General features: G+C 37.3%; 1 protein-coding gene across 31 annotated transcripts in view; it reads right to left on the bottom strand.

The window, feature by feature from the left end:
* The window catches only part of PICALM (phosphatidylinositol binding clathrin assembly protein), a 112,686-nt gene that overhangs the window by 68,848 nt on the left and 27,887 nt on the right, over positions 1-15,951 (bottom strand). For all 31 annotated transcript variants that reach the window (XM_047427666.1, NM_001206947.2, XM_047427660.1 and 28 more), the window contains exons 2-3: positions 5,447-5,589; positions 270-345 (exon numbers count right to left, since the gene is read on the bottom strand). In XM_047427666.1, coding sequence (XP_047283622.1) covers positions 270-345; positions 5,447-5,566 — 196 coding nt within the window. In that variant the 5' untranslated portion in view covers positions 5,567-5,589. The remainder of the gene's footprint in view (positions 1-269; positions 346-5,446; positions 5,590-15,951) is intronic.

Here is a 15,951-nt window from a genome sequence, read left to right on the forward strand (position 1 = left end):
CAAAGATGAGATTCAAACCTAGACAGTCCAGCTCCAGAATTCATGCTCTCAAATAACTACTCTGTACTCCGTCTCAGAGAGCTCTGAGTATCTGGTAGGAAGATTATTATTAATCTTCAAATTAAAAGACAGTTTTTTCTTTCCTACAACCTTCACTAAAATATAAGGTTTAAAGTAGCACATGTTCTAAAAGACAGAGTTCTACTCTGGAGTAATCATCATGTGGGTGTCATTCTTTTGATTTTCTATAATGTAAAAGTTATCTTTACCTTGCAATCCACTTTTATCCAAAAAATTGCTTAAGTTAAACAACGTGTTTCTTGAAGCCAAATACTGAATAAAACGCTGGAAAAAAAAAATTACATCATATTAAGGTACTGCCATCTCACCAACTCTAATTCGAAAATTAGGAGGAAAAGTTATGGTTAACACATTCTATTAAGCTTATCTAGTTTAAATTTCTCATCCTCACTCTTTCCATTAACTAGTTACCAAACCTAAAAACATAATACATATTTTTCACTAGCATGCGAGAATTTATTAAAGCCTAATGCCCACAGATATAGTATTAAGTCAAAACAATAAAAGCAAATAGGCAGTGGAAGCAGTAGTTTTGGTTTTATTACAGCATACTAAAACTATAGCTAATCATTTTTAGGTGGCATCTGTATTTTAAACAGCCGTCTGGTAAACCAAAGTTTTGGCTTTAAAAAAAAAATACTTCTAAACATACAAGAAAGCAATAGAGATCCTCTTACCCACTGTCCAGATTAAACAAATTCACATGTTCACTTCACATCTTATATAGAATCAAAACATTATAGCCTCCATTGAAGAACCACACCTTCAATCTCCCTTCCCTCCCTCTTCAGAGGTGAGTACTTTTCTGAAACAGGTATACGTTACTTTCACACAGGTTTTCACCATTTTACTAGACATACAAGTATCTATAAACTATCCAAGTGTTTTCTATTTGAAATTTACACAAGTATCATAGTGTACTTACTCTTTGCAATGTGTTTTAACTCAACTTTTCCCTAAGAATTGTCCCACTTAACATTTCATCTTAAATGATGTTCTAATATTCTAATGAATACATCATCATAAATCCATTTATTTATTATGGATATACTTTGTAATTTTCGCTATTATTAACAAAGTTGTATTGACATATTTCTTCATGGTCTCCATGCATAAGTATATGAGTATATGAGTTTTTCAGGATATATACCTAGGGATGAATTATTAGGCCAGCACATATGTAAAAGCTCATCTTCTCAATATTGCCAAAATGGTCTCTGAAGTGCTTACCATAGTACATAACCTTAGTCTCCTTCACATACAGCCTCTAAATAGCTAAAGAAATGCCTTTCAACTTCGCTTCTTAGGATTACTTTACTTTCTTCTTCATTTTTTTTTTAATGCATGTAGAGGCTAATAATCAACTAGGATGTACACCATCACCTCTGAAATCAGTATTTTTTTTTTTTTTTGAGACAGGGTCTCGCTCTGTCATCCAGGCTGGAGTACAGTGGTGTGATCACAGCTTTCCACCCTCCTGCTCTCAAGCAATCCTCCCATCTCAGTATGAAGCACCACCCACCATCCACCCCTCACCCTCGCCCCCAAGTAGCTGGGACTACAGGCATGTCCAGCTCACATTTTTAAAAAAATTTTTTGTAGAGACAACGTCTTACTACATTGCCTAGGCTGGTCTGGAACTCTTGGGCTCAAGCAATCCTCCCGCCTTGGCCCCCCAAACTCTCAGGATTATAGGTATGAGAAACTGCGCCCGGCCTCCAAATTAGACTTGTACAACTGAGATCACCCCAAACTAACAAACCAGGATTTTGAAAATCAATGTGTAAACTGAAGACTCATATTTCACAATTATCCTAAAATAGTGTTTCAAAAAGTTATAAAAATATCGTAAGACAATATTAGACTATGATTTTAATAGATTTTGATAAGACTCTTCTTTACCTCTGCATTCTAAATTAATGTAAATAATTTCGTCTACCAGGCCATTTCATTCATGATTTTAGAGATAATAAATCTAAATTTTCCTTTTCATTTTATTAGTCCTTTCTACGTTCATTATATTTAGCTGCAAAGACATATATGGCTTTAATCAAGTTTTGATTTTGTTTTCAACAGCATCCTAATGATATTCAAAATGGTATTAAATTGAGCACCATGCCAACACTCTGGCAAGTAATAAGGCTTCACAGGTTCCCATTTTGGGTCATAAGCGGTAACCTGAAATGGATTATCCTAAACCTTCATTTAAAGAATGGCAATGTGGAAGGTGGGTGATTAGGTACATAAGCATTTGTTATGCCATTCACTCTACTATTGTGTATATTAGAAACTTTTCATAACAAAATATTTAAAGAACATATTTCAGATTATTTTACCCAAAATGGTATTAAATACTTTATAATAAATCCATGCTTGGTACTTCTCTTTTCTAATTTCATCTACAAATTTTTAACTCTACATTTTCATGTATTAATCATCTATAACTTGTCATACTATAGTAAGAGCCTTGGTCAATTCTATTTACCATGAAGGTACTATCATATTATTGAGGAAGCTCCAGAAGTGACTTACCCAAGTCACCCAGTTGGTAAGTGAACAACAGTATAAAAGTACCTACCTGCCTCATGTTAAGGGTCTATAACACAATGCTCACTCAGCCTTACCTTTTGAGATTTTTCTCTGTGGCCAGGTTTCTCAACCTGAGTACTCTGACACTGAATCAGGTAATTCTTTGTTGTTGGAGACTGCTCTGTGCATTACTGTTTTTAATTTTCTTTTTTTTTTTTTTTTGAGATGGAGTCTCTTGCTTTGTTGCCCAGGCTGGCATGCAAAGGTGTCATCTCGCTCACTGCAACCTCCGCTTCCCAGGTTTAAGCGATTCTCCTGCCTCAGCCTCCTGAGTAGCTGGGATTACATATGTGCACCACCACGCTTGGCTAATTTTTGTATTTTTTACTAGAGACGGGGTTTCACCATGTTGGTCACACTGGTCTCGAACTTGCGACCTCAGGTGATCCACCCACCTTGGCCTCCCAAATTGCTGGGATTACAGGTGTGAGCTACCTCACCCAGCCTGTTCTGTGCATTATTGTAAGATGTTTTGAAGCAGCCCTGGCCTTTACCTACTATATACCAGCAGCATCCCCTTCAGTTGTGACAAATGTCCCCTAAGGGAAAAAAAAAATCATCCCCCTTCCCCACTCAGTTTTGAGAATCACCGCTCCATGGTATTCCAATCACCACAGTATAGTGAAATCCTATGTACAGCCTCTAACAAATTAATGGCACCTGCCAATGGGAACATCTGAAGGTTGTACAAACTAGCATAAAAACCTGAAGGTTGTACAAACCAGCATAAAAAATGAACAGAGCATGGAATTTGCTTTAACTGCCTACAGGAAGCTAAACATGAGTTTATCAAAAAACACACTATCAAAAAAACACACTAAAATGCTATCTTTCTCCCCTTGTCAGTCAATCTACAAAATGACTGTCAACTTTCTGTTTTGTCTTTATTAACATTTTGCCTCTAGTACTATCAATTACCTTATTTACAGCCTCTGAAAGCCATTATTGATACTTTGTTTATCTGGCAGTGTAGCTGGTTATATTTGTGGCTTTTTCTTTTTAAAAAATAAACTACATCAAATAAATAAAGAAGAAGAAGAAAAGTACATACACGCTTGGAATTCTTCAGAATAATCATAATCTTAACTAAACATATTCTTGCTAAAAGTAAAAACTATTATCCTAGTTAAGATGTTTCAAGTTACATTTAAGCTAATACAGCCAAACATTTCTATTAGCTCTATCAACTGGTTATAATGAATTAGAAAGCAACTAACATAAGTCCTAAAAATGGTCATGTCTGTTGACTTAGTAATCACATTTCAGGTAACACTTAGGGGAAATCATTTTTAAAAATTAAAAACTACAAATAAAATCACTCAATGTGGTGGTATAACGATGAATCAGAAAACTCAATTTCTAGCAAGGAAAATAGTTTAAAAATTGTGAACTATACGATCAATTACATAGTTACTAAAGATGATAAAAAAATACAACATGGCAATGCTGATAGTGTAATATTATATAAAAAGCTAAGTATATTTTATCTACATTATGATTATAGCCATTTAAAAAATACAAATACTTTTGGACAAGAACTAGAGGGAAGACCAAAATGTGCCAAAAGTAAGATGTGCTGGAACAATAAAGTTGTGGGTAAATTCTTGCTTTAATTTTGAACTTTAATAATGCTATATTGGTAGTTGTCAAAAAATAGTTTCAATACTGAAAAGCCCAAAATAACACACAACGTGATGGATGTCAACAAGTCATTACGCTCAGAAAACTAATACCAATGACTAAAGTTCTTTCTCATCTCTAGAAGGTTATCTTCCCGGGCTGCATTTTTCTAAGGCACATACCGAAGAAGATTTATCTAGTTCTACTCAGATGTTCTTGAAAAGCTCCTGTTAATACAATTTTACAAATAAGTTTATTGAGCTGAGAAAATGAACCAAAAAATTAGCTGCTAGGCTATCACGGAAAGTAAGATGATTCTCTCAAAACAGATTTTCAAAAGCGTATATATCTTATTTGTTACCCTTTTAGGCAACAAAGGCTTCAGACACACCTCTCTGCTGAAGAAGGCACACTTCAATCAGTCCCTCTCAGCAAATGCCATCTTAGTCCTAAATATCACAGCTTTGAAGTAGGCAAAGTGCTTCCATAAACAACTATATGAGATCAGACAAGAATCTAAAGCTGGGTGTGATGGCTTACGCCTGTAATCCCAGCACTTTGGGAGGCTAAGGTGGGAAGATCACTTGAGCCCAGAAGTTCAAGACCAGCCTAAGCCAAGATGGAAAGACCCCCATCTCTACAAAAAAATTTAAAAATAAGCCAGGCATGGTAGCACACACTTGTAATCCCAGCTACATGGGAGGCTGAGGTGGGAAGGTCCCTTGAGCCCAGGAATTTGAGGTAGCAGTGAGCTATGATGGTACCACTGCACCTCAGCCTGGGCAACAAAGCAAGACCCTGTCTCAAAACAAACAAACAAAAAATCTAACTGGACTATAATAAAAGAACAAATGGATATAGACAAAATATATAGTCTATAAACAGGACCAGCAAAAACCAGGGATGCTTATGGAACCCATTTCTAGGCATTAATCTTTGCTTCTTGATCCATTATTGATGTCCTCTGTGCTCTAACCCACTTTTTGCTTTCTGGCTTACAAGCTATCTTTCCTCAAATTACAGGGTCTATAATTATATTTCTGGCTAGGCACCTTGACCTTTGTACCTGGGAGCTGTTTCTGAAGTTTCAGTGAGAGAAGCTAGCTAACAATAAGTCAACACATCAGTATACTTGTTCAATAAAAATTCTGCTTACCTCATTTCCATACACCATCAAATGATGAGTTGTAATGAGAGATTTGAAGACCACCACCCAACTACTATTAGTAGTTCTTTCAAATAAACTGTCTGCCAACTGTGGGATGTTCACATTCATCTCATTTGTGCACTGAATTAAGTCTGCAATAAAAAATTTTTAAATGATTAATTTCCTCTGTGGTTTTAATTTATTGTTAATACCAGATCTGCATACAAACAGGCAAAAGATTTAACACAAAGTGGAGCAGTAATAGTTTGGAGATGTTGTTAAAAATCTCTCAATTAGAGCAATTGAGACTACCATAATCTACCTAAGAAGCAGGGTACCAATTAGAATCACATAAATGATCAACAATACCAAAAAATAAATCAAACTCCCTCAGGGTATAATTCTCTCTCAAGTACTTTGGTCATCTCAAAATGAATTGTTTCAAGGTTTTGAGGAACCTTCTATTTCCTTACTACTTAAAAACCTTCCATTAAAATACTGGTATTATTCATCTCTTTAAAATTAACTTTAACATTTTTCTTTAAATAAAGCTTATTTAAAGAAATCATCCATACAGAAGAATGAACAAAATGAAGATCAAACTATCTTTATGAACATCCACCCTAGAATGCTGTCTTTGCAACAGGAAGATAACAGGGCAGAGATCTGGTCTGTAATTGAGTTGGATCTGTTTGTTCATACAAAAGATTTATACTCCTTCTCTCCCCTCTGTTCTACTGAATTAGCTCAGATCAGTTGATAACTAGGTAATACTGAGAACAAAACTGGAAAAAAAGATTCTCAATAAAACTTAAGAAGAGTAACCTACAATCTGTTTAAGAGATATTATTCGTAAACTCAATGAAGAAAATGTAAAATAGGTTGGGTGCGGTGGCTCACCCCTGTAATCCCAGTACTTTGGAAACCTGAGGTGGGGTGGATCACCCAAGATCAGGAGTTCGAGACCAGCCTGGCCAATATGCTGAAACCCCATCTTTACTAATAATACCAAAAACATTAGCTGGGCTTGGTGGCGGGCATGGGTAATCCCAGCTACTCAGGAGGCTGAGGCAGGACAATTGCTTGAACCTGGGAGGCGGAGGTTGCAGTGAGCGGAGATAGTACCACTGCACTCCAGCCTGGGCAACAGAGTGAGACTCTGCCTCAATAAAAAATGTAATATAATATAATCCAATTTAGAGATATAACAGAGGAGAAAACCAAGAAATGAGTTACTTTTAAAATATATATAAAATGTAATGTATAAATGTCTCAGCTATACTACAATAAAGGGAAAAAAGTTATTCATGACATTAATTTGTTCACTTTTAATCTTCAGTGTGTAATGATTAAATATGAATTCAAATGATCTAACTTGGCCTTGATTGCTAGCAAGAAATGACAATGTAACTACCAACATTTACTTAAAATTTTTCCTTTAATAGGTCCAATTATTATATAAGTTAATATCTGATAAACACATGCATTTTAGATAAGCAGCTACGGTGGCCAATACTGCTTAAAGAACAAAGAACAAAACAGAGTGCCCATGGAACAACAGAATGACACAAAGCTTTCACAATTCAGACTATTTGCAACAAAAATGAAACAGTAAATCCAACTTGGATATGCATGCTTCAACTTCTGAGAGTAAAAAATGGAATTTAATCTCTGCCTTCTCTAGATCTTCATAGCACTTTATAACTGGCCTATGGCACTGAACATATTACACTAGACTTCAGTTTCAACGACAGTACTTTATACACACAAACACACACACAATTTAATACTATATAGTGCATGGTGCATGGTGTGTGTGTATATATATATACTGTACTATGTATGTTATAAAACATATGTGTATGTATATGTACATATATCCATACTATATTCCCTTTGTGATCTGTTCTTCCCCCCACTGCATCACTGCCATCTTCTTTGCAATGCCTCCCATATGCCAAGCACTCTTATCTCAGGTGTTTGGTACTGTTGTTCCTCCTGCCTAGAATTCTCTTCTGCTAGATACCTATGCTGCTTGCTCCCTTCGCTTCCTTCCCATAGCTATTTGCTAAAGTGTCACCATATTAGATAAACTTCCCTGAATATTTACGCAAAATAACAAAGCCTTGGGCATTCCCCTACCTCTAAACCCTCATTATCCCCCTTACTCTGCTTATTTCTCTCCAAAGCATTTATTGCCACTGAACTCATCTTAATTTGTTTAATGTCTTTCTCTCTCAATTAAAATGTTTTTAAGTTCCATGTGGGCAGGGCTTTTTTGTTCTCAACTCTATCCCCAAAGACCTAGAATAATGCCTCAAACATAAAGATCAGTCATATTTTTTAAGACACATTCATTTTGGTATGCATATGGGTATTCTTAACATGACATTTTTTCAAAAGCATCCAAGATTGTGTCCTTACATTAAGTTAAATCAACATCTTACAACTATCTGTACAACCTGCTATTCCCAAGAGGTTGAAAAACAAAGCCGAGCCCAATACATGTGCAAATTTTCAAATTTCAAATTAAAAGGGGATCTAACAAATAAAGGTTTTTACTATAATGCTTATTAAAAACTATAGTATGCTTTTAGTACTGATCACAGAAAAACTGGAGTTATTTTGAAGGATAACTCCAGAAGCTAAAAAAAATTCTTCACACATAATAAAACAGGAAAAATTAAGTAAGAATTCACACTGAGATTATGAATCCAGAATAGACCAAATGTAAAACCAAGTTATACAAATATGACAGGTGGGGTGGGGAGGATATTGAATAAAATTAGCAGTCTATACCTCCCATAGTATTTAACTCAGCCAGTCATTTTCTCCATACAGTAATTTTTTATCTGTACAATGTTTCTCATTTAATAGTACCCTGAAAATGCTTCCAAGTTTGAGCTCCAAGTCAGGAAGGAAAATATTCTTCCCACCTGTGACTAACCAAAAGTAAACTGTTCCAAACAAAAGTAACACTTATCGGGGACTCTCAATAGTTAACTGCTTTTCCCACTCTCAATCCAGAAGATACTATTTCTTAAAAAGCAAAAACTGTAACGATTTCCCTTGCCAACCAATAAGTTACCAAAATGAGGACAGATCTTATATTTTCTTTTCATTATTTATCTCAATAACATAAAAACTGAAGTACCTTCTTGAATATTCATTATTAACAATTTCTGAATCCCACACACACTAAAAAAAAAACAAGTACCACATGGCACGTAGGTTCTCTGCTTTAGGTATGAGTGAGAATTTACAAAGATTTCCAATATTTAAGGGGATGAAGACAATAGGCCTAAAAATAAGCCTACCATAGAAATGACAATCACTTTTCCATGTAGAGAAAGCAGAAGGAACCAATACCCACCATACAAACACAAATGCTCTTTTATTATTTCATATGCTCTTTCAACAAACAATGACTGAGGTAGATAAAGCTGATGTTAACTGTATTTACACAGGCAAGGTCACAGGAGCTAAGTGACAGATTAATGACTAGAATTAAATTTTTGCAAAGGATAAGGATCCACTAAAACATACAGCAAGTAAATGCTCAACTAGCCAATTTAATACACGTTCTCGACTGAAAACTAATTAAAAACAAAAACAATAGAAAAACAGTGAAATGCAAAACAGTATTTTTGTATTCTGAGGAAGTCTTTTTTTTTTTTTAACAAAGTACAAAAAATTTAGAACTAAGCAGTTACCAAATGGTTTCATTAATCTTACAGTCATATTCCTAGTGTAGGCCTTTACAAACTCTCCCACCAGGCAGAGTTCACCAACTTCAGCCTATATAGATTTCCCCAGGCAGAGTTCATCAACTTTAGAAACTTAAATTAGGACACTCAGGGTTCACTTCTACAGCAAGTCAGGCAACCCAGCCAGTGGCCTGTGCCATCAGAATGCAGAGTTCTCAAGTTCCCATCTAAACAGCAACTCACTAGGCTACATCAAAACCACACTGATACCCGAATAAGATTTTCTAAAAAAGAAGCCTGGCCTAAACCAGTATTTGTTTGTTTGTTTTTAAATCAACATACCACAATCACTTAGCCAAACACAGTAATACATATAAAATTTAGTAATCCCTTTCAAAAAGGTCATTTTGAACGAGAACTTCTTTTTTACACCTGCCCTCATAAATTTACAACCTAAAATTGATTTATTCAGTCATCTAGAAAACTGGAGATACGGCTGGGCACGGTGGCTCACATCTGTAATCCCAGCACTTTCGGAGGCCGAGGCGGGCGGACTACCTGAGGTCAGGAGTTCGAGACCAGCCTGGCCAACATGGTGAAACTCTGTCTCTACTAAAAAAAAAACACAAAAATTAGCCGGGCATGGTGGCACACGCCTGTAATCCCAGCTACTTAGGAGGCTGAGGCAGCAGAATTGCTTGAGTCTGGGAGGCGGAGGTTGCAGTGAGCCGAGATCATGCCACTGCACTCCAGCCTGGCCTACAGAGCGAGACTCTGCCTCAAAAAAAAAAAAAAAAAAGAAAAAAAAAGAAAATTGGAGATAAAATTAATATGGAAGGCAAGGCAAATTAACTGGTTAATCAAATTTTGCTTCACTTATCAAATCTTTGTAATTTTTCCTTGGTGGGAGTAGAAACAAAAAGCATATTCATCAAAAAATAGTAAACAGAGGATAAGGAACTTTTATATGAAGTATCAGCAAAATTTTTTTCATATAGCAAAATTGTTTTAAGTATTTCAAAACTATGCAAGTTGAAATTAGACATAGGCTAATCAAAGTTAAACACAGGCAAATTTGCCTAGTCGTAAGTGTCAATGTCCAGGAAATGAAATGAACAGTCTTATTTCTTACTCCAATGATTTGTGAAAGGGATCATAAAATATGGTCCAAATTAAGATGTAACTGTTAAAATTTTATCTGTAAAGTTCATGGGGTCTTCTGTGAGAAACACAATGTTTTATTTTTATATAACTTCCAGTAGAATTAACTCAAAACTATGCTCTTCACAGGCTGACTTACACCTTAAGAAATCTAACCAACATAATTGGACTTTAATAACTGGGGAAATACTCTTAAAGACAGAATATGGAACGCTGAGTACAATGACAAAGATTGACAAAAATAATCAGATGGCTTTTAGAACAATACTAATGAAGCTAAGGGACCTAATTCATAATTTAAGTGGACATATCCAAGAGTGAAGAGTTAATCAAATGACACTACAGTCTGACTATGAAATACTATGAGGCCAACGAATGCATGGCACAAAAAATAAAAGCTGTCAGGAGAAAATGTTCACCACATATTAAGTCAAAAGTTATAGTAAAGAAAAATACACAGTACAATTCCATTTTTTAAAACTGTATGTGTGAGGCTAGGCATTGTGGTTCATGCCTGTAATCCCAGTGCTTTGGAAGGCCGAGGTAGGATGACTGCTTGAGGTCACGAGTTTGAGACCAGCCTAAGCAACACAGGGAGATCCTGTCTCAACAACAACCAAAAAAAAAAAATTTTTTTTGAGATGGAGTCTTGCTCTGTAGCCAGGCTGGAGTGCATGGCGTGATCTCGGCTCACTGCAACCTCCGCCTCCCAGGTTCAAGCGATTCTCCTGCCTCAGCCTGCCAAGCAGCTGGGACTACAGGGGCCCGCCACCACGCCCAGCTAATTTTTGTATTTTTAGTAGAGACAGGGTTTCACCATGTTGGCCAGGATGGTCTCAATCTCTTGATCTCGTGATCTACCCGCTTCGGCCTCCCAAAGGGCTGGGGATTACAGGCATGAGCCACCACACCCAGCCAAAAAAAAAAGAAAATTTTTTTTTTTTTTTTTTGAGACGGAGTCTCACTCTATCGCCCAGGCTGGAGTGCAGTGGTGTGATCTCGGCTCACTGCCACCTTTGCCACCCAGGTTCATGCAATTCTCCTGCCTCAGCCTCCCAAGTAGCTGGGATTACAGGCACCTGCTACCACGCCCGGCTAATTTTTGTATTTTTAGTAGAGATGGGGTTTCACCATCTTGGCCAGGCTGGTCTTGAACTCCTGACCTTGTGATCCACCTGCCTCGGCCTCCCAAAGTGCTGGGATTACAGGCGTGAGCCACCGCACCCAGCTCCCTAGTTTTTTTTTTTTTAATTACTGCTTGTAGTGGAGGTTGAGGCGGGAAGATAGTTTAAGCCCAAGAGTTTAAGGTTACAGTGAACTGTGATCACGACATTGCACTCCAACTTGGATAACACAGCAAGACACTGTCTAAAAAAAAAAAGTTATGTATGTGTAATATTTTTTTGTATATATTGTATTTGCCCAAATACAAGGTGATGCATACACAATCGAACACTTCCAAAATGACTTAGCAACTATGTCATATATGAAGTTAGAGAAAAATAATTTATAAAGGAACTATAACACTGTTACTTCCATAAACTAATCTCAGTACCTCTCATGTCACATAGCACACACCAGTTCTGTACTGTAATTTATTCCACACCCTTTAGAACGTTATCATGATCAAGAGCAGAAAGGAGAGCCATGACACATTCTTTATCTCCTCAAGGATGTGAGGAAGAGGTGGTACAAGAATAAGAGTGGCTGGGCCAGGCATGGAGGCTTACGCCTATAATCCCAACACTATGGAAAGTTGAGGCAGGTAGATCACTTGAGGTCAGGAGTTCGAGACCAGCCTGGCCAATATGGTGAAACCCTGTCTCTACTAAAAACACAAAAATTAGCCAGGCATGGTGGCACATGCTTGTAATCCCAGCTACTTGGGAGGCTGACACAGGAGAATCGCTTGAACCCAGGAGGCGGAGGTAAAAGGAAGCTGAGATCACAGCCATAGCACTCCAACCTGGGCAACAGAGCGAGACTCCATCCGAAAAAAATTAAACAAAACAAAACAAAAAAAGAATAAGAGTTGCATGGTAAAGTACCTGAGAATTTGGCAGCCACTATGCCAGAAGTAGGTCAGTATTTTGAACACAAGTTCAATCTCTTACAATGGTAAATGAGCCTTAAGGAATCTCCAGACCCCACACCCAAAGTAAGTCAAAGTCCTGGCCGGGCACGGTGGCTCACGCCTGGAATCCCAGCACTTTGGGAGACCGAGGCGGGTGGATCATGAGGTCAGGAGTTCAAGACCAGCCTGGCCAAGATGCTGAAACCCCATCTCTACTAAAAATACAAAAATTAGCCGAGCTTGGTGGCAGGTGCCTGTAATCCCAGCTACTTGGGAGGCTGAGGCAGAGAACTGCTTGAACCCAGGAGGCGGAGGTTGCGAGCTGAGATCACACCACGGCACTCCAGCCTGGGCGACAGAGCGAGACTCCATCTCAGAAAAAAAAAAAAGGTAAGTCAAAGTCCTATCTTAACGTTTAAAAATAAAAGACCAGGTGCAGTGGCTCATGCCTGTAATCCCAGTACGTTGGGGGTCAAGGAGAACGGATCACTCAAGGTCAGGAGTTTGAGACCAGCCTGGCCAACATGGTGAAACCCCAGCTCTATTAAAAATACAAAAATTAGCTGGACGTGGTGACAACACGACTGTAATCCCAACTACTTGGGAGGCTGAGGCAGGAGAATAACTTGAATCTGGGAGGCAGAGGTTGTGGTGAGCCAAGATCATGCCACTGCACTCTTGTCTGGGCAACAGAGTGAGACTCTATCTCAAAAAAAAAAAAAGTGCAGCTGTAGGAAAAAAATCAGTATATTAGCACAACTAGATATGCTATTTCTGTCACTGTGTTCTTAGCAACATGAATGGACTAAGATTCCCACACTTAAAAATTAGAAAATGTAAAAATAGAGTGGAACATGGTGACATGCACCTGTAGTCAGCTACTTGGAAGGCTGACAGGAGGATCCCTTGATCCCAGGAGTTCAAGGCTGTAATGTACTATAATCATGCCTGTGAACAACCACTGCCCTCCAGCCTGGGAAACACAGTGACACTCTGTGTCTAAAAAAAAATAAATTAAAATAAATTTTAAAAGGCAATCCTCCCCCCACCAGAAATGTAAAAATAATTCTACCATTTGTAAAATTGCCAGGTAAAATGACAGCACTTTCCCTCTCTAAAAACTATTCAATAGAAAAACTGCCATAAGTCTTCACAAATCATCTCATTATCTGGTCTGTTTATTTTAACAAAGTTCTTCCTGAAGAAGGTAACCTGAAAAGACCTCCAACAATGCTAGTTTCAGGTGCTTATGAAGAAATAAAAAATTTAACAGAGGTAAGTATTCCTGGGAATATATACCACATAATTGCAAAATTGTGTTGGGTGTCTTCAGAACTTTAAAAAGCAACAAAATCATTTTGGGAGGCCGAGGCGGGCAGATCACGAGGTCAGGAGAGCGAGACCATCCTGGCTAACACGGTGAAATCCCATCTCTACTAAAAATACAAAAAAATTAGCTGGGCATGGTGGCGGGAGCCTGTAGTCCCAGCTACTCAGGAGGCTGAAGCAGGAGAATGACATGAACCCGGGTGGCGGAGCTTGCAGTGAGCCGAGATCGCGCCATTGCACTCCAGCCTGGGCGACAGAGCATGACGCCGTCTCAAAAAAAAAAAAAAAAAAAAAAAAGGCAACAAAATAAAGTTATGTTGCAGATGCAGAGATCAGAAATATAGAAATATACATGAGGAACGAAAGAAACAAACTGTCTTAGTGTTATAAGAATGGATGGTGATAGTCTGTGAAAAAATTTCTAATGTAAATTAGAAAGATCTTACACAAAAGGAAAGATGTTATATAACTTTAAAAAAGGGGCTGTGGATGACCAAAAAAACACAAAATATCCAATATATACATGAATGTAAAATGAGTCAAATGTCATGTGGTGAGGTATGTATGAGTGGCGAAAAGAAACTACTATTTTAAAATCACAGATTACTTCTCTTTCTAATAACTTTTTAAAATTTTATTGATTTATTTTTATAGAGACGAGGTCTCCCCCTCTGTTGCCCAGGCTAGTCTGGAACTCCTGGGCTCAAGGGATCCTTCTCCTCGGCCTCCCAAAGTGCTGGGATTACTACAGATGTGAGCCACCGCACTCAGCCAGATTACTTTTTATAGTAATCTTTCATATGTATTCTAACTAGTGAGTTTCAATATTATGAGGCTGACTGCTTCATCTATATCCCTAACATTTACATATTTAAATAGGTTAAATAAATAAAACTTGAGGGGCTGTCAATGTCTCTGGGAAAATGCAGGCTTGCTTTATATTTGGGGTTACCTTACATTCAGGTACAAACAGTATAGGTGTATATATGTTTAAGTGTGTGTATATATTCCAAAATGCTTTAAGTGAGACACAGGATGAAGCCACACACTTTCAGAGCTATCCCTTTTGCTGGAAATGACCCGGATGCAATTCAAATAAACAATGGATTCACCTAAGTATATGCCAAATACTTAGATATACAAAGCTGAGAAGATGCAAAATTTCTCCCCTACTAAACTGAGGTCTTTGGGGGTAAAGATACAGCCTCACAATACATTATGGTGATTGTAATCTGTATGTATAGGATTCAGAGATGGCAAAAAGACCAGGCAATTGTTTTGGAGGGGAAAGCAAATTTTCCCTGGTTTCAATTTCATACTCTCTTAACTCATCATACAATAGTTACAGCACTTTTCACACTTCATTACAATTACTAGCTCATATATCAGTCTCTCCTATGAGAGAGCTCACTAAAGGCAGTCCATGACTTCTTCATCCTCAAATTGCCAGCACCTAGCAGGATACACCTTAAATATTTATTAAATTAATACTAGTAAATGAAATGTAACTTAGAAGACATCTGTAGAAAGCAACAATATTCTATTTAGTCTAAGCTTCAGTGCAGCAAATTTGGAAAAAAATATATTAGCAATCTAGAGAGCAGCATAATTGCTTTTTCAAGTTTATACCACCCCATATTCCTCCTCCTGCCACTATACTGATATTATGAACTACCTCAATAAAAAGCCTCTACTTCAAGAACGGAACACAGAAGAGATTTTTTAAAAGGCATTTTCCTGGCAGAGAAAGGACTGACATCCTTTTTATTTGTGGCAGAGGAAAGATGAGGAACTGAAAAGGGAATATGTAGAGAAGAAAGAATTCAGATAGAACTGGGTACACAAAGCAAACTCCTAAGATACTATATATTAATATATGTCTGAAATTTAGCCTCTTAAGTCATGGCTGAACCCAAGCCAAATTTACCGAACTGTTCAAACTTTAATTTTAAAAGTGCAAACTAAATTGTTTTAAATGAAGTCATTATGTAATTGCTCTAAAATTTTAATCAACACTGAAAACACATTTTTCAGATCAGTCTAATCTACTGTCTCTTAAAATTATCTTTCATTTGTCTCTTTACCCACTAATGTCATAAATACAAAAACTCTTAGAACAAAAGTGGAAAGTTTAAGTCATGAAAATGCTCTATAGAAAAACATATACTCTTGGAATACTCTGACTTCACTGCCACTGACTTGTATTTTCAAATGAAAGAGTTGTTCCTCCCCCCTCCTCTGAT

This window comes from Homo sapiens, chromosome 11, assembly GCF_000001405.40.
Source record: "Homo sapiens chromosome 11, GRCh38.p14 Primary Assembly".
NCBI classification, from domain to species: Eukaryota; Metazoa; Chordata; class Mammalia; order Primates; family Hominidae; genus Homo; species Homo sapiens.